The sequence below is a fragment of the Homo sapiens genome, chromosome 16 (assembly GCF_000001405.40).
Source record: "Homo sapiens chromosome 16, GRCh38.p14 Primary Assembly".
Taxonomy (NCBI): Eukaryota; Metazoa; Chordata; class Mammalia; order Primates; family Hominidae; genus Homo; species Homo sapiens.
Genome location: NC_000016.10, coordinates 2049784 through 2073613, shown reverse-complemented (window position 1 = coordinate 2073613; position 23830 = coordinate 2049784). Strand labels below are relative to the sequence as shown.

The window sequence follows — 23830 nt, the reverse complement described above, 5'->3', positions numbered from 1 at the left end:
AGCCTGAGGGATGGGAACCCAACAACAGCTCCCTACAGGGCCACCATCAGAAGCTGAGGCCCGGGGCACAGATGGGCCAAGCCTCAGAGTCAGCATCTCCTGGCGGGCATGGCCCTGAGCGGAGGCCAGAATCTCTAGGACACCAGCTCCTCGTCCCGGAGGGCCATGTCAAAGAGAGGTGTGGAAGAATGCGACTGGGACGGGGGCGAGGCAGATCGCAGGTGAAGGGACAGTTTCCGGCACCTGATGGGGCGTGGAGGGAGGCAGAAGCCAGACTCTCTGGCCTGCCCACCCTGCGCCTCAGAACCAGCCCAGCTCCACCAACCGGCATGGCCACCTCCCCCTTGGGACAGCAGGAACAAGCCAGGCAACGCTCTACAGAGAGCAGAGATGCTGTCCGGGGTGGACAGGGAACACTGGATGGCTCCCAGGCCCCAAAGAGAGCTAGAAGCACCAGGGAATCGGATGTCCCCACTCTGGGCATCTGGCAGCCACCCAGGGAAGCAGAGCCAACTCACTCATCCCTGGCCTGGCAGAAACTCGTTTATGAGAAAAATGTGGGGCCTACCTGGGCCAGGCCCTCGAATCCCAGGCCCCATCAAGCTCGCCTGTCCTGCTCTGACCTCCTACCTGTTTGGTTTTGTCCAGGTAGTTATGGTAAGAGATTAATGCTGTCAGCACTGGAACCACGGCCAGGTGCAAGTCAGTTCTGGAGAAGCCTTCTGGGGCGCCTCGGAGCCGCTCCAGTGTCTTTGGGCCTGAAAGCTGATGACCAAATCCAGGCATGAAACCTCTCCCCAGCGGCCAGGTCACGGGGTAGCCAGAGGGGCTGGGGAGGCCCTGGGAACGCAGGCCCAGGAAAGGGGGCAAAGGGGCTGGGGAGCCTTCTTGCCTCCCTCCCAGGAAGGGCCTCCCTTTCGGAGTGGTGGGAGTGCCTGCCAAGTAACACACCAGGAATGTGAGGTGAACGGCACGGGAGCCCCACTTAGGAAAAGCACAGATGGGAGACATCCACATTCAGTGACATGCCCTTGGCTGGGGACCTCTGACGTCAGTCCCAAAAGCTGCGAGCTGGGGCAGGGGTCCCTCCACCCTGCCCAAGGCACAATCTGCGCTCCAGAGTGCAGCTGAGTTTGAGGGAAATGGAGCCCGAGCCCGAAGGGTCTCACTCGCTCTGCCCAGAGGCTCGCAGTCTTTTGGGGAAAAACCCTACTGGGTCCCCCACCCCAACCCCAGGCCGGCCATGGTACCATGGAGCAGAGAGCAGAGCACAGCTGGTCCACACTGCAAGGGGAAGTAAAGATGAGCACTTTATAGCGCAGGGACTCAGGCAGCCTGCCCAGAACCAGCTTCAGCACCTTCCAGTCAGACTCCTGCGAGGAGAGGAGGCGTCAGGACAGGGCCTTCTGGACCCTAGAGACAGAGGCGGAAGCTAGCATCTGAGGCTCTGCTTTGTGGCTGCACAGCGTCAAGGGCTATGGAGCCCTGTTCTCAGCCGGGGGAGCCTGCCCAGCGCAGGCCTCTGTCCCTGCAGCTGCTCGGGGAAGGGGGAAGGCTCAGCTCTGAGGGAGGGCTGCCCTCCACAGGCCAGACAGGGAGGGAGGCCCAGCAGGCAGGTGGCAGCTCCCTGTCCTCCTGGCCCAACGTGGGACGGATGGTCCCTGCCCGGCCCCACTCACCTGCTTCAAGCACTGCAGCAGGACGCGGAAGAGCAGGGAGTAGGGCACGGACCCCAGCCGCACGGCGGGGCCTGCAGGCGCCGGGCCAGGAGGCCCTGTGGGAGGAGAAAGGGGGCCGCTGGTCTTCTTCTCAGAGCCTCTCTCTGGCTCCCTGCAGAAGCAAGAGAAGCAGCTGAGGCCAAGTCCCCGCAGCAGGAACGGAACAGACTTGGCTCTTCCCAACCCTGGGACATCCCTCAGACATGCAAACAGCGCCACCACAGCCCCAGCGCCTCTGACGCCCTGAGCCTCATGGGCCGTGGGCGAGGTCCCGCGTACATGTAGTCGCAGACGCAGTAGGGGCTGAACCGCACGACTCCATCCTTGTTGGGCAGGCCCAGGCGGTGCAGTGAGTCGGCCCGCAGCAGCAACAGGAAGTCAAAGGCCTGTCAGGAAGAGGATGGTGAAAGCCAGAGCCAAGCTCGTGCAGGCCCAGGACAGGCGGCGTCCCACCTGCTCAGACCCACGTCCAGCACCACAGGCACTCAGAAAAGGCCACCTGCTGATGTGCACACACCCACATCCCAACACAGACACAGGCTCTGTCCTGGTGACACCGGAGGCCCAGCACCCACAGCCTCCTCCCTCCCTTGCCTCGGAGCTCACAGAGCCTGGTGTCCCCACCACCACAGCTGGGCCCGCCTGGGATGGAAGGGATGGGCGCCTCGCTCCTCTGGCAGCACCACACGCCCCCAACTGCCAGAAAGCGGAGCTCAGCTCCCAGCCCTGCCACTTCTTCCATCGACAGGCTGAACAGGACTCTGAGGCCACAGGGGTGGCCCCAGAGAGCACCTGCTCTAGGAGGGAGGGCTCCCATCCCAGTCACCTCTGCTCAGCCTGGTGCCAACATCTATAGCGCAAACTCAGCGAAACTCCTCCAGCCCTGTTCTGCCCATCCCTGCCCTGCCCTCTCAGCTCTGCCCTCTCCAGCCCTGCCCTGCCGTCTCAGCTCTGCCCTCTCAGCTCTGCCCTGTGCCGCCCACCTGCCCAGCCCTCTGCTGCAGGTCCTTCACAGATTCTGCAGCACCAGGAGCGTCAGGGCCATGCACTGCCCCGGAAGTCGCCGTGCGTCCTTTTCTCTGCCCCAACCCATGTCACCGTGCGGCTTAGAGCGACAAGCCACAGATGTGTGGACTGCAGGCAGAGGGAAGGACACCAGGACTGGGGAGGCTGCGGCCACAGTGGGTGCAGAGGAGGGACGGTCAGCTGAGGCCCCATCCTGGGGCCGTCTCTGCAGCTTCCAGGAACCACACCTGCCGAGACGGGGATACCTGGCTGGGCCCCCAGGAACTGGCTGCGCAACCCCAGCCACCATACCTGCAGCCGGATGCTGCTCGCGATTGGCAGGGTGTAGCTGTGCTTGTAGTGGAGCTGAATGTGGCTGACCAGCATCTCATACACACGCGTGGCGTGGCTTGCAGGCAGGGTGTACAGCTTGGTCTGCAGAGAGAGGACGCAGCTCACCACGGCGCAGGAGGTGAAAACGCAGTCCTAAGACAGCACCCTTGTCCCGGAGCAGGGGCCGGGGCGGCTGCTCTAGAGTGCGTGCTTCAAAACACACGACCTTCAAACCCAGGACCACCAGGACTCTCTCTCCACAGCAGCAAAAAGTAAAACCCAACCTCGTGCCCATCTCATCATCAGGGCAGTCATCAACAGGTGAGGAAGAGTCCATTCAATGGAGAAGCTCCAGCTGCGTGGCAGACAGGGCAGAATGGGGCGGGGAGTGTGTGCTGCAGGGCGATCCCAGGTGTAGGCAGCCCCTCCCAAAAGGTCAAGGGCACCTCCCAGACACGTGTGGCAAGGTGTGAAGAGCATCTGTTGCCTCCAGCAACCCTGGGGCCGAGGCCAGCAGGAGCCAGGGGAAATCTGGCCTGAGGGACCCTTTGCAGCACTCTGGAGGTAAGTGGTTACACTGTTATTCTTTTAAAGAAATGATTAACACCTTTAAATGATTAAAAAATCATTGAAAGAAATGACTGAGGCCAGGTGTGGTGGCTCACGCCTGTAATCCCAGCACTTTGGGAGGCTGAAGTGGGTGGATCACGAAGTTAGGAGTTCAAGACCAGCCTGACCTACATGGAGAAAGCCCATCTCTACTAAAAATACAAAATTAGGCCGGGCACAGTGGCTCACGCCTGTAATCCCAGCACTTTGGGAAGCCGAGGCGGGTGGATCATGAGGTCAGGAGATCAAGACCATCCTGGCTAACATGGTGAAACCCTGTCTCTACTAAAAACACAAAAAAATTAGCCGGGCGTGGTGGTGGGCACCTGTAGTCCCAGCTACTTGGGAGGCTGAGGCAGGAGAATGGCGTGAACCCAGGAGGCAGAGCTTGCAGTGAGCCGAGATCGTGCCACTGCACTCCAGCCTGGGCGACAGAGCAAGACTGTCTCAAAAAAAAAAAAAAATTAGCCAGGTGTGGTGGTGCATGCCTGTAAATCCCAGCTACTCAGGAGACTGAGGCAGGAGAATCGCTTGAACCCAGGAGGCGGAGGTTGCAGTGAACCAAGATTGCGCCACTGCACTCCAGCTGGGGCGACAGAGCGAGACTCCATCTCAAAAAAAAAGATGATTAAATGATTAACAGTTTCTCCTCATCTCAAAATATTATGACATAAAAGCAACATCCCTTCCTCGGACAAAAAAGAGGTGGAGGTGGGGGTTCACACAGTGCCTGGCACCCCCCATTCTGGGAAGGCCACATGGAACCAACAGCAGCTGCCGCCCTGCCGGGCCCACTAGGCAGGCAGGAAAAGGGGAATCAAACTTGTCACCGTGTCCATTGTGCAAACTCTCTGACCCTCGAACAGCACGAGGCTGGCCTTCATGGGTCACTTACATGCCAATTTTCTTCCGCCTCTCCCACCCGAGAGAGCAAGACCATGTGTCTCCTCTCCTTCCTCCTCAGTCCCCTCAACATGAGGATGACAACAATGAAGACCTTGGTGATGAGCCACTTCCACTTAAGGAACAGGAAATGTATTTTCGCTTCCTTATGATTTTTTTTTTTTTTTTTTTTTGAGACGGAGTCTTTCTCTGTCGCCCAGGCTGGAGTGCTATGGCACGATCTCAGGTCACTGCAACCTCCACCTCCCAGGTTCAAGTGATTCTCCTACCTCAGCCTCCCGAGTAGCTGGGATTACAGGTGCGCACCACCGCATCCAGCTAATTTTTGTATTTTTAGTAGAGACGGGGTTTCACCATGTTGGTCAGGCTGGTCTCGAACTCCTGGCCTCATGATCTGCCCGCCTCGGCCTCCCAAACTGCCAGGATTACAGGCGTGAGTCACCATGCCTAGCATCTTAACAGCATTTGCTTTTCTCTAGCTTACTTCACTGTAAAAACACAGAATACATAAAACACACGAGCTGTACATTAATAGACTGTCTGCTATCAGCAAGGCTTCTAGTCAACAGAGGGCTGTTGGTAAAGTTTCTGGGGAGTTAAAAGTTAGATGGGGATTTTCACCTGCACAGGGGCTGGCACTCCCAGCCCCATACTGTTCAAGAGTCAACTGTGTTACTTTTCAATTATAACAAAAGAAATGAAAACAGGCCAGGCACGATGGCTCACGCCTGTAATCCCAACACTTTGGGGGTCTGGGGTGGGTGGATCACTTGAGGTCAGGAGATTGAGACCAGCCTGGCCAACATGGTGAAACCATGTCACTACTAAAAATACAAAAATTAGCCAGGTGTGGTGGTGCGCACCTGTCATCTCAGCTACTCAGGAGGCTGAGGCAAGAGAATTGCTTGAACCTGGGAGGCGGAGGTTGCAGTGAGGTGAGATCGTGCCGCTGCACTCCAGCCTGGGTGACATAGTGGTGAGACTCTATCTCAAAAAAATAAAGAAATGAAAGCAGCCAGAACCAGGACTCTGCCTCAACTAGGAAATATCTCAGTTCTGCAGCCCAGACCCTCAGGCCTCCAGGGCTGGAGTTCCAAGTAAGGGCAACAGAACCTCTTTCCTTCCCTCTGCAGAAGCAGAAAGGTTCTCAGTTCTCCCAGGCCATAGGCCCCCACAGCCCAGCACACCCCTTCCCAACCAGTCAGTAAAGAGCATGGTGCTCATGTGGATGAGACACCAAGGAGGTGATGCCTGTTTTTGCTTTGTTTTGTTTTTGAGACGTTGTTTCATTCTTGTTGCCTAGGCTGGAGTGCAATGGCGTGATCTGGGCTTACTGTACCCTCTGCCTCATGGGTTCAAGTGATTCTCCTGCCTCAGCCTCCCGAGTAGCTGGGACTACAGGCATGCGCCACCACGCCCGGCTAATTTTGTATTTTTAGTAGAGACGGGGTTTCTCCATGTTGGTCAGGCTGGTCTTGAACTCCCAACCTCAGGTGATCCACCCACCTCAGCCTCCCAAAGTGCTGGGATTACGGGCATGAGCCACCACACCCGGCTGATGCCTGGTTTTTAATCAAACACCACGGCCAGGTGTGGTGGCTCATGCCTGTAATCCCAGCACTTTGGGAGGCTATGGTGGGAGAACTGCTTGAGGCCAGGAGGTTGATGCCAGGCTGGGCAACATATAAAGACCCCATCTCTACAAAAAATGAAAAAATTAGCCAGGTGTGGTGACGTGTGCCTATGGTCCCAGCTACTTGGGAGGCCTCCGAGGCAGGACGATCACTTGGTCACAGGAGTTCAAGGCTGCACTGAGCTATGGTCACAGCACTGCACCCCAGCCTGGGCGACAGAGTGAGATCTTGTCTCAAAAAATTAATTAAAAAAAAAAATCATCACCACTTTCAACTTCCATGGCAAGAAATAAAAACCCATGACATATAAACATGACAGGAAATTGTTCTACCATCCAACATCTTAAGGATGAGCTTTTGAGCAAACTGATTCATACATTATATTTTACACGATACTGACACTGACAGTCACACGTAAGTGATGCTGTGAGGCTTTGAAAAGTAGAGGCAGGCCGGGCGTGGTGGCTCACACCTGTAATCCCAGCACTTTGGGAGGCCAAGGCGGGAGGATCACCTGAGGTCAGGAGTTCAAGACCAGCCTGGCCAACATGGTGAAACCCAGTTTCTACTAATAATACAAAAAATTAGCCGAGTATGTTGGCAGGTGCCTGTAATACGAGATGCTCAGGAGGCTGAGGTAGGAGAATCGCCTGAACCCAAGAGGCGAAGGTTGCAGTGAGCCAAGATCGCGCCACTGCACTCCACTCCAGCCTGGGCGACAGAGTGAGACTGTATCAAAAAAAAAAAAAAAAAAAAAAAAGATAAATCAGAACCCTTACATGCTGCTCGAGTGGATGGAAAATGGCACAGCACCAGTGGAAAACAGCCTGGTATCGCCTTGAAACACCAAATGCAGACTAAACCTAGGGCCCAACAATTCACTCCTAGGTGCAGACCCAAAAGTGAAAATGCAGGCCCGGCGGAGCCCTCGTAGGAGAAGGTTCACAGCAGCACCACTCACCGCAGCTGCAAGGCGGACACAGGCCAAATGTCCACCAATGGAGGAACGGACAGACAAAATGTGCTCCTTCCAGATGATGGAATACTACTCAGCCATGAAAAGGAGGGGAGCACCAACAGCTGCCACAGCCTGGACGGGCCTGGACACATGGCGCTGGGTGGAACAATCCAGTCAGCAGACAGGAAACTGTTCTACCATCCAACATCTTATGGATGAATTTTGTGTGATTCCACTTCCATGAAATGTTGAGAGTAGGTAAATCCACAGAGACAGGAAGCAGCTTGATGGTACCCGGGGGTACGGGAGCAACGGGGGATGGGAGCGTGTGCTACTGGTATGCTCAGGAGGTTCTCAAGCTGACTGTGGGGTTGGCTGCAGAGCTCTGTGAATTTACTGAAAACCACTGAACTGTTCACTGTGAATGGGTAAATTGCATGATATGTAAATTAAATCTCAACAAAACAGCTGCAAATATTAAACGGACTGCAGGGCAGGAATGGAGGGCCACCCTTACTTCCCAGGTGCTGTGCTGGGTGACGAGGGCAAGCGCCACGCTGAGGATGGTACATGGTTCCGGCCCTGACTCAGGAGCACAGAGACAAGCTCTGGTCAGGGCGTACAACGGGGCCTCTTGCATCCATCCCTCCACAAGAGCAGGAGGAAGGTTCTGCTGCCTGCTGAGACCACCGCACCCTCAGCAAATCCAGGGAGGGTGTGGGTCCCGCTGGGGAACAGACTCCAACACAACGCAGATGCAGCTGGTGGACGCTAGCCATGCGCGCCCCGGGAGCAGAGGCCTCGTGCAGAACACCCACCTGAAGGATGACCAGAAGCCCCAGGACGGCTGTCTTCACATCCTCCAAGGAGGCCGAGTATGCGGCCACATCCCTTTCTTCCAGCTCCGGGGGTGGGGAGAGGGAGCGGGCCATCACCTTTGAAGAGAAGGCCAGGACTTACACACAGGCTCATGGTTCTGAGTCAGCAGCCGTGAGAACACTTTCTACCACAAACACCTTTTTTTTTTTTTTTTTTTTTTTTGAGATCGAGTCTTGCTCTGTCGCCCAGGCTGGAGTGCGGTGGCACAATCTCAGCTCACTACAAGCTCCGCCTCCCAGGTTCACGCCATTCTCCTGCCTCAGCCTCCCCAGTAGCTAGGACTACAGGCGCCCGCCACCACGCCCAGCTAATTTTTTGTATTTTTAGTAGAGATGGGGTTTCACCGTGTTAGCCAGGATGGTCTTGATCTCCTGACCTCATGATCCGCCTGCCTTGGCCTCCCAAAGTGCTGGGATTACAGGCATGAGCCACCGTGCCCGGCCCTTTTTTTTTTTCTTTTTGAGACAGAGTCTTGCTCTGTCGTCCAGGCTGGAGTGCAGTGGCAGAATCTTGGCTCACTGCAACCTTCACCTCCTAGGTTCAAGCGATTCTCCTGCCTCAGCCTCCTGAGCAGCTGGGATTGCAGGTGCCCGCCACCACGTGCAGCTAATTTTTATATTTTTAGTAGAGACAGGATTTCACCATGTTGGCCAGGCTGGTCTTGAACTCCTGAACTCAAGCAATCCACCTGCCTCAGCCTCCCAAAATGCTGGGATTACAGGCGTGAGCCACTGTGCCCGGCCTTCATCTTTATTGCTCAAAAGCAAAGATGCCCTTTATACCCGAGTGACTGTGCAGAAACCAAAATGCATCTGAAAATCAAAGAGCAAAGCTGTTGGCTGGGCAGGGAGGACGGCAGGCCAAAGCCCCAGCCCCAGGTCTGGGCTCCAGCGTCGGTCCAGGAGGCCCAGCCCAGCTGTCCCAGAGTGTGACAGGACACCCATGTCCAGGACTTTCAGTCAGGACACAAATCCAGCAGTGGCAGGCCCTGCACAGGCCTCGGGACACCCACCCTGCAGGGAGGGGAGCCTCACCTACGGACACAGCCATCCGGTCACTCGAAGAGGAGGACAGAGGGCCCAGAGGCCATTGCTGCCCACGGAGCTCTGGCACGCTAGCACCCGGCCCCGGGTACAACGGCTCTCACCTTCTCGATGATGTCCAGCAGGCTGTTGAAGTGGTGTGTGTGGCAGCCCTCTGCCAGGTCCACCAGCAACTGGGTGGCCAGCTTTCGGACCTGGTGGTCTTTATCCTCGGGGATGTGGGAGAGCTGCGAGATGACCACTGAGTTAATCAGCTCCTCCTGCACAGGCACAAGGGAGGCCAATGAGCGCCAGCCCAACGAGGGCCACATCTCGTGACACTTCCAATTCCTCAGGAACCGACCCGCAAGCAGCGGACATGTCCCTCGGGACTTCAGCACAGCTGGGCAGAGAGCACAAGCACCCGCTGAGCGCGACTCAGAGACCCCGGGGCCCCTTCCAGGGATCCTGTCCAGCTCCTCGTTCAGAAGGCTGGTGAGCACCGCAGGGCGGCCGGGCACAGACACGGGGCCCACAACTCACAAGGAGCAGCCGAGGTGAGGCCCTGCCCTTCACTGTCACAGCCGAGAACCCCTCCCACATGGTGCTGTGCGTGTGTGCGTGAGGGTGTGTGTGGCTGTGTGCACGCGTGGGCATGTGCACGTGTGTGCCTGTGCATGCGTGAATATGCGTGTGTGTGCGTGCTGTGCTGAGGACAGCGTGAGTTTTCACAGAAGCAGGTAAAAAGTTCCACAGGAACAGAGACCAGGACAAGACCAGCCCTGATGGGAGAAGCCAGAGGACCCAGAGGAACTTCCAGGAGGCCCTTAGCTCCCTCAGACAGAATGCGGGATCGCAATGCCCAGCAAAGGGCAATTCAAGGACAGTGGACGCTGGGGAGAGGAGCAGAGTGGGCAGCTCTCAGGAGGGCAGGACTGCGAGGCTGCAGGGAGGAGTTCGGTGGGAAGGGACAGCCTCAGAGCCTAAGCTGCGCCTCCTGGGAAAGGGGTATGACTGGCAGGCACACAAATGTCTCTCAAGGAAGGTGGGCCTGGGGCCACAGAGCTCCCAGAGGAGGGAGTGGAGAGGGAGAGCCCGCAGAGGAGAGACCAGGCAGGGCTGGCGATCACGCAGGTGCACAGGGTGAACGTCAGGACTGAAACGGAAGACAATGTCCCCATGCAAGACTGGCTGAAACGAACTCACACAGAATTTTTAAGAGGCTCCTGTGTTGGGTGAAAACCGGCCGGAGCTCCCTGAGGGCAGGCACTGTGCCTTCCTTGCTACTTGGCCACGTGTCAAGGCCTGGCAGAGGCACCCAGGACGAGCAAGCCAGTGAATGAACAGGGGTAAACAGACCACGCTGGGGGCTGCAGAGGGTCCGGCAGGACCGAAGTCCCAGGCAGAGCCCGGCTCTGCGGGAGCACGTGCACAACAGAGACAGCCCGCCCACGGAGAAATAGCCCTGAGCCCCCAGCTGCGGCCGCCTGGACACGCACCTCATAGAACTGCCTGTTGATGAGCAGCACAAAGGACAGCACGTCCAGCACCTTGATGCGCACGGCGCCTCGGGACTCGCTCCTGCGGGACGGCAGCCTGCTGGGGCGGGTGGGGAGTGCCCGGCCACAGCCCCACACCAGCCCGTCTGCCTGGCGCAGGCCAGCCCGACTCTGGGTCCTCCCGCGGCCAGGCACACAGGGCACAGAGCTCTGCTTCCCAGGGAGCATCTCTCCAGACGACCCCCGAAAAGAGGGAGCCCAGTGGCGTCATGAGAGGACCTGTCCTGCTGGACTGGAAAGCAAGCTAGCACCTGCTCACCCAGAGCCAGGGCTCTCCAGAGGCAGAGGGGAGGGCCCTGCTCATCGGGCATCCTGAGACCCAGCCCGGGTGGGCCCCAGACAGAGACAGGGCCAGGCTCCAGGTGCCAGGCAAGGCTACAGAGGACCCCCTACCTGAAGAATCTCTCCATCAGCGCCTGCAGGTTCTGAATCCAGCCGTCCTTGGCCGGGTGGATGGACTGCGCTCTATAGGAGATCAGGTTCAGGAGGGAGGACTCCTGTCAAAAGAAGAGCCGGTGTTGCCCCTCTGCCCCTCCGGCGCTCTCCTTCTCCACACTGGGCTGCTGGTCGAGAGGCTGGTTTGCTGTCAGAGCCCAGCCGCCTCACAGCCTGCAGCCCACAGCCCAGACACAAAGGCACTCCTGGCAGCGGGGAAGACTTGTGTCCAAACCCATGGAAAAGCCTGGGCCCTAAGCTGAGTGTTCCTGGCAAAATGACTGCGGCCGCCTGGGAGCCACAGGACTCTACAGAGCCGGATGGAAGCTTGCTCCACACAGGTGGGAGGAAACTGATGGGTGGGCTAGCCCCGAGCTTGTTACCAAACACGTGCTGTGCCTGCCAGCCTTCCCTGCCGAGTGCAGAAACCTGGAAAGCAGGCGCCCACCTGGCCCTTGGCTTCTGAGGCTCAGAAAGCTGCACTTCACCCAGCACCCGGCCCCTCCCCACCAGCCAAAGCCCAAAGGCCCCACCCAGGAGGGGGTCTCACAGGCCTCTGGTCCGCACATCTCTCCACCAGTTCAAAGTATCTCTCCTGAGACCCGTGGAACTCGTTCTGGTCACACAGCTCCTCCACCGTGGTCAACAGGTCATGGACGATGGTCCTGAGCTCCGGGCTGTCCAAGGTCTGCAGTACCAGGCACGATGACACAGGCTGACTTCCACTCCCCACATGGACTTGGCACCAGAGGCCTCGCTACACACCCACCGCATGGAGACACCCTCAGCCCTCTCAGGCCGCTCTGGGCCGCATGGGGACAGACGCCCCCAGCCCTCTGAGGCCGCTCCGGGCCTCATGGGTTGAGACACCCCCAGATCCTCTCCAGGGGCCACCCTGACCCACGTGGCCCAGGACACCCCCCAGATCCTCTCAAGGGGCCACAGTGGCTGTGATGGCAGCTGCTGTTCCTGCCCGTACCCCACCCCCCAAGGAATCTTGGCTGTGCCCATGCAGCTGGGCCAAGAAGGAAGCTCGGGCAGGAGGGCCAAGAGTAGCCACAACTACAAGCCTTTCTTGCCTCTCCCAGGTCCAGCCTCTTTTAGAAGCCCCAGGCTATGACCTCTGCCACTGCCACCAGCGGTCGGGGGCAATGCTCTGGCCCAGCGACAGGCTCTGAGAGGACTTCAGTCCCTGCTAAGTCCCGGCGAAGTCCCGGCCTCCCTTCTGCTGCCTGGCCTCCTGTACATCACCCGCCCCAGGCTCCAGGAAAAGGCACAGCCCTGAGGCTGCTGGATACTAGCCTCGCCTCCCCAGGGCCCCTATGCTGATGAGCCCGTGTGGCCGTGGAGTCCTCCTTAAAGCTGTGGTTAACAGACTCGACTAATGCGGTCCTCCAAAGTCATGCGGAAGCCACACTGGCATCCCTCTGGGAACTGTGCCGGGGCCCACTCAGGCCACGAAGGCGGCCTGCAGGTCACTCTGCGGACTGTGGACAGCACTGGCCCAGCCCCGGCTCACCTACTGCATATTCCTGTCTGGGGCCTAAACGATGCACCACGTCTGGAAAAATCAGACCTGTCTCCGGTGGAAGGTGGATGAGCGCCACTGCGAATCACCAGAGAACACGGTTCTGGCAGTCTCTGCGGGACCCCCAGAGATGGGGCCCAAGGTACCATCTTCTGAGTGGGCCGAGCCTGCCTGTCTGGGTTCCCGGTGCTCCCCGGAGCTCCTGCCCCCACCCCACCTGGAGCTGCTGAAGGAGCCGTTCGATGATGTTCAGCAGAATGTCCCACGCCACCACCTGGAGCTCCTTCCTATACTTCTTGATGAGCCTGGTGATGGACAGGACGATCTCATAGGACACCACCTCGTTCGGACATGCCATGGCCTGGAACACGAGCCCGGCCAGCACACAGGGTCAGAGCTGCTTGCTTGCTGTGGGACGCCCTCCCAGTCACCCTTGGGACCGAGAGTAGCACGCCTGAGCGCGCAGTGCCCACCACACGTTTATCAGGGGCCGCAGAAACAGCAGGTGGGGCGCCCAGGAGGGGTTTCTACATGCTCCAGCACAGTCAGGACCCAGACGGGCCCCACCCCCATGCCTGCCTGCAAAGTCCCTGACTCGGACAGACCAGCAACTGAATCCTGGGCACCCGGTGGGCCAGCCCAGCAGCAACTGAAAGCTGCCCTGAGTTCGGCTGCAAGCTGTGCACAAAGACAACATCCCCCCACCGCCCCTACGGGGAGGGGGGTAGCAGGAAGAGCAGAGGATCAGGAGAGCCCTGTGACCCACACCGCAGCTCATCACTATAAAACCAGGACGACGTGATCGCCCCACCCTCCAGGGAGCTGTGAGCACAGAACGAGGACGGACACAAAAAGCGCTGTCATCACGGGGCACTGCGGAAACTGAAGCTGTACCACCAGCGTCTGTGCCACGGCGTCATTGCAGAGACAGGACAAGACCAGCACTTGACAAAACAGAGCCGCCAACAGCAAGAGAACGGCTACCCCCGAGGCAGCGTTCACCCCTCCACTGCCAACTCCAGAAGGTGAAACTCGCAAGATGTAAGGTTTGCTTGAGAATAAAGCCTTTGGGCTGCGCGCAGTGGCTCATGCCTATAATCTCAGCACTTTGGGAGACCAAGGCGGGTGGATCACCTGAGGTCAGGAGTTCAAGACCAGCCTGACCAACATGGTGAAACCCCATCTCTAATAAAAATACAAAACATTAGCCTTGGCCGGGCACGGTGACTCATACCTATAATTCCAGCACTTTGGGAGGCTGAGGCTGGCGGATCACCTGAGGTCGGGAGTTTGAGACCAGCCTGACCAATGTGGAGAAACCCAGTCTCTACTAAAAATAAAAAATTAGCTGTGTGTAGTGGCCCATGCCTATAATCCCAGCTACTCAGGAGGCTGAGGCAGGAGAATGGCTTGAACCTGGGAGGCGGAGGTTGCGCTGAGCCAAGATCGCGCCATTGCACTCCAGCCTGGGCAATAAGAGCGAAACTCTGTCCCATTAAAAAAAAAAAAAAAAAAAAAAAACCATTAGCCAGGCACTGTGGCAGGCACCTGTAATCCCAGCTACTCAGGAGGCTGAGGCAGAATGGCTTGAACTGGGGAGGCAGAGGTTGCAGTGAGCCGAGATCGCACCATTGCACTCCACCCTGGGCAACAAGAGTAAAACTCTGTCTCAAAAAAAAAAAAAAAAAAAAAGAGAGAGAGAAAAAAGCCTTTGGCCAGGCATGGTGGCTCACGCCTGTAATCCTAGCACTTTGGGAGTCTGAGATGGGTGGATCACTTCAGGTCAGGAATTCGAGACCAGCCTGGCCAACATGGCGAAACCCCGTCTCTACTAAAAACACAAAATTAGCCAGGCATGGTACCAGGCACCTGTAATCCCAGCTACTCAGGAGTCTGAGGCAATAGAATCACTTGAATCCGGGAGGCGGAGATTGCAGTCAGCCAAGCAGAAAGAGCAGAACTCCTTCTCAAAAAAAAAAAAAAGACTAAAGCCTACAAAGGGCCCCAAACCTCACCCCCAGCTGCAAAGCAACTGCCTGGAAAGGCCTAGAAATGCCACCGCAGCCCCCGCAGCAGGACCCCCAGTGGGATGGGTGGGCAGGCGTGAGGGGAGCTCTCCCGTTCCTGCCAGCTCACTGCACACAGAAACCGCCTTACCTGGTAAAATGATGGCAACACAGATGTCGGCGAGTTCCTGAGAGAATAGAGCCGGTGGGCTCCCCAGAGAGCCATGCCCACAAAAAACACGGCTCCTCTCAGCAGGGGCGCGTCCTCCATGTAGGCTCTAAAAGTGTTCCCCAGAGAGACGGAATGTGAGCAGGGCCCTGTCCCAGGGTCCGCCATGGATGTGTGAGGTTGCCGAGGCTCCTGCAGCAGCCCCAGAGGTCCCTGTGCTTGGGGGGGGCAGGAGCACCGCTGGGGAAGGGCAGGGAACAGAGGCCAGCAGTAACACTCTTGTTCACTCCTGCGCACAGGCGGCAGCCCATCACTGCTGACCACGCTGTGAGCTACAGGTCATGCCAGGGACAGGAAGCAGGCAAGAGGGATGGCCCACAGCCTCGCAGTCTGGGGGAGACAGGCGCCAGCCACATAATCTCCCAGGTAAACGCAAAATCTCTTCCTCCAATCACAGCCAAGAAGGAAAGCCACAGCAAAAACTACTCAGGGAGGTGGGGGAGTCAGTGACCACGCTAAGACCTCAGTAAACAGAGTAACTCGGCAAAGGTGGAAGAACCTGCTGGCAAGAGGAATCAGGGCATGCACAAGCCCTTGGTGGAGGGGAGAAGGCAAGATGGAGGAAAGGAGAGATGCAGGGGGTGGGGCAGGGCTGGGAGAGATGCAGGCTGAGGCAGGGCTGGCCCCCAGGGCCTGGTTCTACGGGAGGAGGGAGGGAGAGATGCAGGGGCTGAGGCAGGGCTAGGAGAGATGCAGGGCTGAGGCAGGGCTGGGCCCCAGGGCCTGGTTCCAAGGATGGAGGGAAGGAAAGATGCAGGGCCGAGGCAGGGCTGGGAGAGATGCAGGGGCCGAGGCAGGGCTGGGAGAGATGCAGGGGCCGAGGCAGGGCTGGGAGAGATGCAGGGGCCGAGGCAGGGCTGGGAGAGATGCAGGGGCCGAGGCAGGGCTGGGAGAGATGCAGGGGCCGAGGCAGGGCTGGGAGAGATGCAGGGGCCGAGGCAGGGCTGGGAGAGATGCAGGGGCCGAGGCAGGGCTGGGAGAGATGCAGGGGCCGAGGCAGGGCTGGGAGAGATGCAGGGCTGAGGCAGGGCTGGCCCCAGGGCCTGGTTCCATAGGAGAAGCCTACATCCCAAGGGCGCTGGGAACCACCTGGCTTCCAGCAAAGGGTGACACCGACATATCTGTGTCAGAAAAAGGCCACCCGGGTGCTGCATGGAGTGGGCTTCAGGAGGCGCGGATGGATACAGGAGAGCAGGAGGGGGAGCTGGCAGCATGGGTGGGAGGCCAGGGTGTGGGCAGAGCTGAGCCATCTCTAATGGCTAAAGCAACAAAAGTGGCCACAGCCTGGCTGTGGGGGTGAGGGCAAGGGCAACGTCAAGCCAAGACCCCGAGCCTCGCCTTGTAACAGGCTAAGTAGTTGGGGAGCACCGCTGGAGGACGTCCGAGCATGGGGCAGGCACTGAGCTGGGTGTGGATATTCTGTTGAACTGACAGAGGAAGGAGAGGACAGGGGCTGGATCCTAGAAGTCATGGGCCTCGCTCTAGTGGCAGCCTCTGGAACAGCTGCCCGAGAGGACAAGGACTCTCTAAGCCAGTGTGTGCTTGGCAAGGGACACTGGAGCTGCCCCGAGGGCTGTGCTGGCCTCCACTGCCCTGCGCCCCACCCACCACACTCACCTGTCCTCCATGAGGTGGCACATGTTGTAGATGGCGCTGTGGCCCAGGTGGGTGCCAAGGAGGTTCCGCATCAGCTGCGAGACACAATGCGTGTCAGGGGCTGGCAGGCATAAGCCCTGCCCCCAGCCCCAGTCCCGCTGCTGGCCCCGCCTGGCTGCTGCCCTATAGCCACCCAAGGTCCGGCCAGCTCGCCACCATCTCCTCCCAAAGACAGAGGCAGCAGGGTTCTCAAAATGCCACCAAAACCCTGACCTCAGCTCAACTGCCTGGGAAAATGACACTGGCCGTCCCTCAACAGGCCATTGTCTGGCCACCCCAAGAATCAGACAACCATTCATGGGAGACAGGATGGCCCTTGTCCCATCCATGTGCTCTCAGGAACCTTCCAGAGCAGTTTCAGAAACCCCACCTTCCAGCAAGGCTCGCAGAGCTCCTTGACGTTGATGGTGCGACAGAGGGTAACGATGAACAGCGGGAGGCTCTCAGCCGGCAGGCAGTTGTAGCAGACCACGGCGTCCAGCACCTGCAGGGAGACCTGGTGGAGAGGGAGACGGCTCACGCCCGTCCTACCCCAGCTCCTCCCCACAGGAGAGGACACCCAGGCTTCCTTCCCACCTCCTTCAGCCTGCGCTGCCACCTCTCCCCGCTGCCATGGCACCCTCTCTCCAAGCCACAGGGCAAGCGGGCATGTGGGAAGCACCTGACGTCCCTGTCACTGTGGGTCATTGATGCTGTCATCCACCCTGAGCTACATCTCCACATGGAGGCGCCCGGCTATCCTGACTTACATGGGGGACTCCTGAGGCTCAGAGAGACCGAGCAGCTTGCCCAGGGCTACACAGCCAGCAGGTGGCACACAGGGCTCAACCCCCAAGCCCCAGCCTCCCAGAAACCAGGGTGAAATGGGCCGGCCCTGGGGAGGGGAGGCACTGACCTCTATGTCCACAGAGGACGCGGTCCGGACGCACAGCAGACAGATCATCCTGCAGGGAGCACCGAGCTCAGTCCCGGCAGCACTGCCTGGATGGCCGAGCCACCACGGGCTGTGGTCTAGTCACTCTATGACGTCAATAACACGCATGGCTCATCCTCCCTGGGGGTCCCACCCACCCAACAAGCACTCAGGTGCCTGCTGTGCGCCAGCCACTGCTCTCGGTGCTGGGTGTTCAGCATGAGTGAGACAGAGCTCATGCAACATTCTAAACAAACAACAAAAAGATAACCAAGACATCAGATGAGAGCTAAACAGAAGATAGCTACGTACTTCTCTTTTTTTTTTTTTTTTTTTGAGATGGAGTTTTGCTCTTTCACCCAGGCTGGAGTGCAGTGGCACGATCTCCGCTCACTGCAACCTCTGCCTTCCGGTTTCAAGCAATTCTCCTGCCTCAGCCTCCTGAGTAGCTGGGATTACAGGCTCCCACCACCATGCCCGGCTAATTTTTGTATTTTTAGTAGAGACAGGGTTTCACCATGTTGGCCAGGCTGGTCTCGAACTCCTGACCTCGTGATCCGCCTGCCTCGGCCTCCCAAAGTGCTGAGATTACAGGCGTGAGCCATTGTGCCCAGCCCAACCTCTATTTTTTTGGTGGTTTCAACTTTATTCACTGCGGAGCTGAACTTAGGACCATTATCAGAACAGGATCTCAATTCTTTTCTTACTGAACCATCCTTGCGATGTACTCGTCGAGGTAACAGCTATTGAATTTGACCAAGTTCACCAGCACCAGAAGGAATTCCGAGGACAAGCCAACATCCATCCACTGCAGGACAAAGTCAGCTGGGGGAGAAGCGGCGGCAGTTTGCGAGGACGCCGAATCTACATCTCCCACTCACCTCCCCCTCCCGCCGCAGGACAGTGTGTCCAAACCCGTCACTGCCAGAAACCCCATCATCAGTCCCCCGGCAGCAACAGACAGACCACGCACTGGGCCCGAAGAGGCTCAGGGGAGCCCAGGGCAGGCCGGCTACGCACGGACACTAGGATCTACCGCCCCTGGGGCTGCACAGAGGGTCTGTGCCGAGGCGGCAGCAGAAGTGTGTATGCCGTACACTCAGGGCCCAACCCGAGGCTGGGAGACGCCGACATCACCAGACTCCTGGGCGTTCCCCACCCCCAGCAGAGAGTGGCTCGGAGGAGACGTGTGCACACTTGGCTGCCGGCCACGTCACCTCAGACAGGAAACCTGACGGTAGGCACCTGGCCGGCACCTGTCCTGCAGGCAGCCCAGCCACTGAGGCCCTTTTCTGGGCGACAGAACAGCAAAGCCAGAGTCAGACCGATCTCTTCCTCCTCTTTCTCTACTTCCCAGAATCATGACACAGAGACCCAAGACTAATGGAAACCTCCCACCACAGGATGGCAGGAGGAAGGTCCACAAAGTGGAGAAAGGAGGAGGAAGACGGGACCAGTACGCTCCGGTTGAGACCAAGTCAGCAGCACCACCTCCCAGTGACAGAACTCGCCCAGCTCCTGCCGTTGCAGAGGTGTTCGGAGGCCCCAAGCCCCAGAGACTCACAGTCAGCAGGTCTGGGGTGAAGGCCAGGACTCTGCATTTTTAACACGTGCCTCAGGGGCACTCCGGCCACGCAGGTGAGCCCAGGTGCATGAAGCAGGGTGGGCATACCCGCTGCAGGCCATCCCTGAGAACGGCAGCCCCTCCCCAGCCCCAGGTCCTTCCCATCCAGGTTACACTTGATCGTCAAGGCCAGAGAAACCTCCAACCCAAGGTGGCACCCACCCAGCTCTTCCTCCAAGTAGGTGATGTGTCTCCCATTGTCTGTGAGGGCCTTGAAAACCTCCAGCCTTTCGTGAAGGTCTTCGTTGGAAGGGTAATCCTTGATGACCTTAAAGAAGAGGGCTCTGAGGACCCCCAAACGCTCGCCCTAAAGACAAAAGCCACAGGATCAGCAGAGCCTGCCAGCGTCGCCCACACGGCTGCCAAGAAGTCCCTGAAGTGCAGGGGCACCCGGACTCCAGCCCTGGACCCCTCTCCTTCCCACAGAGGCGCCCTGCAAGAGACAGGTCTGCAGCATCAGCATTGTACAGGGCAGGGGGCCGGATGCACCGGCCGACCGCAGAGCGGCGTATGGGGAGCAACTGCTGTGTGTCGGGACCTGGCACAGCGGGTGGCGCAGAGCAGGGGATGACACAGCTCCTGCCCGACCCCTGCACTCGGTGCAGGGCAGACAGCCTTGTGCTCAGAGACTGAGGACAAGGCCTGAGTGGGGGAAACCCAGGAGAGCCTGTGAGAGTGGACGGCCCTTCTGAGCAGCTGGGACATGAAGGAGTAGAAGTGGCCGACCAGGGGAGGCAGGAACACCAAGAGGCCTGGGTGTTCAGGGTCAGCCAAGACCAGCACAGATGGAATGCAGTGAGCAGGGGAGTGGCCCCGAAAGGGTGCAAGGGCAAAACAACACCGTAGCCCCACACCAGCTGCCAGGTACGATCTCAGCACTCTGCGAGAACTGCCTCATATGATCCCCAGAACATCCCATAAGAGGAAGGTGCAGTGACCATCTGTTTACAGGCGAGGAGGCAGTGCCTACGGTCACACAGACCTCATGACACCAGGAGACCCCACAGGCCATCCAGCTCCAGAGCCCATCAGCCCCTAGACCCTGTGCCCAGCAACTCACCGAGGCAGGAGTCCAAACACGGCCCAGCAGGGACAGGACAGTCAGTGGGCAGCCTGACGTCACCCATCCCAGCGTCGCCCTGGGCCTTACCTGCCCCTGCACGATGGCCTTCAGCAGAGCCAGCACCGCGTGCCGGGCCTCCAGCGGCCGCTCCGGCTGCAACAGATCCGCGACCGCCTTCCAGAGTGCTTCCACTGCGTGCTGTCACCAGCAGAGGGGACAGCGGTGAGGATGTGCTCTCCAAGAACCCTGGCCCCGGCAACTGGAGCAGTGCCGTGAGCGGAGGACAGGGAGGAACAACGGGGGCTTGTGACTGAGAGCCCCACCTCCAAAGCTCGTATCTCCTGTGTCTCCTGCAGCCTGAGATGACCACAGGCTTCGTACAGGGAACGGCTCAGAGCTTCCTCAAACCCCAGCAGGTCCCTTTAACTCCCACCAGGTGACAGACTGGGGGCTGAGAGGACAGCAGCAAGCCAGGGCAGCAATGGTGGCCTCACCTGGACCAGGAGGGAGTCCCACTAGAGCTGCCGGAATGCTGGCAGGAAGTCATGGGACAGTCTCAGAACCACAAGTGCACACTAAGCCCTAGGCCTGCACCTGACCCAGAATCCCTGCTTGTGGCTCTCCTCTAGTGAACACACCAGCATCGGGCCCTCGACCCCATGCCCCTGCCCGACCTCTGCTGCCTGCCTGACCTGCTGAGAAAGAGCGCTGCGTGGCCTTCTGAAATCTGCCTCCTCTAACTACCACCCAGCCTGTGAGGGGCTCATCCCTGCTCCCTAAAGCTGCCAGAATCAGTCTCACTCGGCAGGGGTTTGGGCTGGCTCTCACCACCTTCCCTTCTCCACATTAACCAACAGCCACGGCTTTCAGACCACAGGCTCATTCCTGGCCTTACTCCTCTAAGGAGGGGAACTAAAATGGCCGTGTTCTGGCCAAGTGCGGTGGCTCACACCTGTAATCTCAGCACTTCGGGTGGCAGAGGGGAGAGGGTCACGTCAGCCCAGGAGTTTCAGACTAGCCTGGGCAACACAGTGAGACCCTGTCACGACAAAAAATACAAAACTTAGCCAGGCGTGGTGCTGCATGCCTGTAGTCCCAGCTACTTGAGAGGCTAAAGTAGGAGGATCACGTGAGCCTGGCAGGTTGAGGCTGTAGTGAGCCATGATTGTGACACTGCACCCCGGCCTGGGTGACAGAGTGAGACCTTGTCTCTAACCAAATAATAACAAAATGGCCGTGTTCTTTTAGATGTCATCTGACCAACATCCCAACCAATTCAGACAACTGGCACTCTCACCTCCTTTGTCTCATTGACAATACTCTTACCGTTGCAACCTGAGCTGCAAAGATCCGTGGACACAGGGCCCGGGACCATCCCAGCCTCGGAGGCCTATTTATCCACTCACAGGCTGCCCCGTACCCACACAAACAACTTTCAGAACAGGATGCAGGACGCTTGTTCTTTTTTTTGTTTTCTGAGACAGTCTTGCTCTGTTGCCCAGGCTGCAGTGCAATGGCACAATCTCAGCTCACCACAACCTCTGCCTCCTGAGTTTAAGCGATTCTCCTCCCTCAGCCTCCCAAGTAGCTGGGATTACAGGTGCCCGACACCATGCCCAGCTAATTTTTGTATCTTTAGTAGAAACAGGGTTTTGCCACATTGGCCAGGCGGGTCTCGAACTCCTCACCTCAGGTGATCCATCCACCTTGGCCTCCCAAAGTGCTGGGATTACAGGCGTGAACCACTGCGCCCGGCTAAGGACACCTGTTCTTTACACCTATCTTTGGTAGCGTACGGCCAGCACGTTTCAGATGAGCTGCTGCAGAGGTAGCAATCACTCTCCTCTTAGCAGATCTGAGCATGAGAGGTCCAGGTCTCACTGCTCTCCCACACACAAATGCTGGGCAAGGCAAGGGCAGAGCCCTCAGGTGCTCTACCAGCAACCTGCACTCCCAAAATGACCACTTCCTGTCCTGTCCACAAGTCATCAGGAAAGTCTGGCAATGTTTGCCCAAAATAAATATTTCTATGTCCGTGAGGTCGCCCAATACCACCGACCAGTCACCCTCCCAAAATGGCACCAAGACCAGCGTGCCTAGGATTGTTCTCTGTGGAACAAACCCTTTCTTGATTTTTCTTGGCCTGAACTTGTAACAGGAGAGAGCGAGTGAGCATGCGTTTCTATCAGCCACTACAAACTCTTCCTTTTTTTTTTTTTTGAGACAGAGTCTTGCTCCGTCACCCAGACTGGAGTGCAGTGGGGCGATCTCGGCTCACTGCAACCTGTGCCTCCCGGGTTCAAGCGATTCTCCTGCCTCAGCCTCCCAAGTAGCTGGGATTACAGGCATGTGCCACCATGCCCGGCTCATCATCTTTTAGTACAGACGGGGTTTCGCCATGTTGGCCAGAGTGGTCTTGAACTCCTGACCTCGTGATCCACCCACCTCGGCCTCCCAAAGTCCTAGGATTACAGGCATAAGCCCCCGCACCCCCGCTCGGCATAGAAATCCTTTCTGGTGTTGCTAGAAAAGCCTAATCCCTTTGCTCCCCATTTCCACGCTTGATTGGTCCCTCAAGGTTGTATTCGGGGCATTTCCAGTAGCTTCCCCATCACTACGATGAAAGCTAAATTCCCCTAAAACAGTGCAAACTGGCTGGGCGCAGTGGCTCACGCCTGTAATCCCAGCACTTTGGGAGGCTGAGGCATATGGTTCACGAGGTCAGGAGTTCAAGACCAGCCTGGCCAACATGGCGAAACCCCGTCTCTACTAAAAATACAAAAAGCCGGGTGTGGTGGCGCGTGCCTGTAATCCCAGCTACTCAGGAGGCTGAGGCAGGAGAACTGCTTGAACCCAGGAGGCAGAGGCTGCAGTGAGCCAAGATTGTGCCAGCCTGGGCGACAGAGCAAGACTCCATCTCAAAAAAAAAAAAAAAAAAAAAGTGCAAACCAGATCATCGGCAGTCAGCTGTCAACCATGTTCCTAAAAAAAGCAAACTCAGGCTCTGAATAGTCTACGTGCCTCTCTCTAGTAGCTCAACTGGATAAACCTACCTCTTCAAATTTCTTGGTTTTTGCGACTTCACAAATCTGCCCTATCATCCGGATGCGATTGTTGAGGCCACATTCCATGCTCAGTTCCTGGAGAGAGATGAAAGAAGAAAAAGGGGCCAGTGCTCAGGCCACGGTCTCCTTAACTGCAAGTCACAAACCACCTAAAGACTCCCACTGCATTTTCCAGACTAGAGACTTAAAACAGATCTTTCTGGAATCAAGATTCACTTGACGAGCCGCGGTGGCTCAGGCCTGTAATCCCTGCACTTTGGGGGGCCAAGGCAGGTGGATCACCAGAGGTCAGGAGTTTGAGACCAGCCTGCCCAACATGATGAAACCCTGTCTCTACTAAAAATACAAAAAATTTGCTGGGCGTGGTGGTGGGCGTCTATAATCCCAGCTACTCGGGAGAGTGAGGCAGGAGAATCCCTTGAACCCAGGAGGCGGAGATTGCAGTGAGCCGAGATCGCGCCCCTGCGCTCCAGCCTGGGTGACAAGAGCGAAACTCGGTCTCAAAAAAAAAAAAAAAAAAAGATTTACTGAGGGGCTTTACTGCTCCATCCCGAGGAGTTGAGAATGTGCAATTTTTTTTCACAACTGCAAATGTTGTATTGAGATAAAACATAACATGAAATACAATTTCAAACTGCACAATTTTTTTTTAGACGGAGTTTTGCTCTTCTTCCCCAGGATGGAGTGCAGT

At 57.7% G+C, this 23830-nt stretch overlaps 1 protein-coding gene across 52 annotated transcripts in view, besides 1 other annotated feature; it reads right to left on the bottom strand.

Annotated features, from left to right (window-relative positions):
• TSC2 (TSC complex subunit 2) overlaps positions 1–23830 on the bottom strand; it is a 41507-nt gene that overhangs the window by 15878 nt on the left and 1799 nt on the right. For 19 of the 52 annotated variants that reach the window (NR_176229.1, XM_011522636.3, NM_000548.5 and 16 more), the window contains 19 exons: positions 23128–23214; positions 20162–20272; positions 19174–19318; positions 18095–18212; positions 17370–17418; positions 16845–16970; positions 16436–16509; positions 14741–14867; positions 12801–12944; positions 11606–11743; positions 11014–11117; positions 10561–10642; positions 9187–9342; positions 7979–8095; positions 3036–3158; positions 1998–2104; positions 1680–1830; positions 1251–1373; positions 631–765 (listed from right to left, as the gene is read on the bottom strand). Coding sequence is in view for 47 of the 52 variants with exons in the window: in XM_011522636.3 (XP_011520938.1) it covers positions 631–765; positions 1251–1373; positions 1680–1830; positions 1998–2104; positions 3036–3158; positions 7979–8095; positions 9187–9342; positions 10561–10642; positions 11014–11117; positions 11606–11743; positions 12801–12944; positions 14741–14867; positions 16436–16509; positions 16845–16970; positions 17370–17418; positions 18095–18212; positions 19174–19318; positions 20162–20272; positions 23128–23214 (2217 nt within the window). In the remaining 5 variants the exon portion in view is untranslated. Of the gene's footprint in view, positions 1–630; positions 766–1250; positions 1414–1679; positions 1831–1997; positions 2105–3035; positions 3159–4837; positions 5057–7978; positions 8096–9186; positions 9343–10560; positions 10643–11013; positions 11118–11605; positions 11744–12574; positions 12662–12800; positions 12945–14740; positions 14868–16435; positions 16510–16844; positions 16971–17369; positions 17635–18094; positions 18213–19173; positions 19319–20071; positions 20273–23127; positions 23215–23830 lie in introns of all 52 variants that reach the window. The other 33 variants (NM_001406682.1, NM_001406684.1, NM_001406685.1 and 30 more) reach the window with 13 other exon arrangements.
• Positions 4329–4560: a silencer, noted in NCBI's record as "fragment chr16:2119055-2119286 (GRCh37/hg19 assembly coordinates)". NCBI's record gives its function as "represses an EF-1alpha promoter that drives an FKBP-Casp9 reporter gene in an ReSE screen in HepG2 liver carcinoma cells {active_cell/tissue: HepG2}" and the evidence as "EXISTENCE:reporter gene assay evidence [ECO:0000049][PMID:32094911]".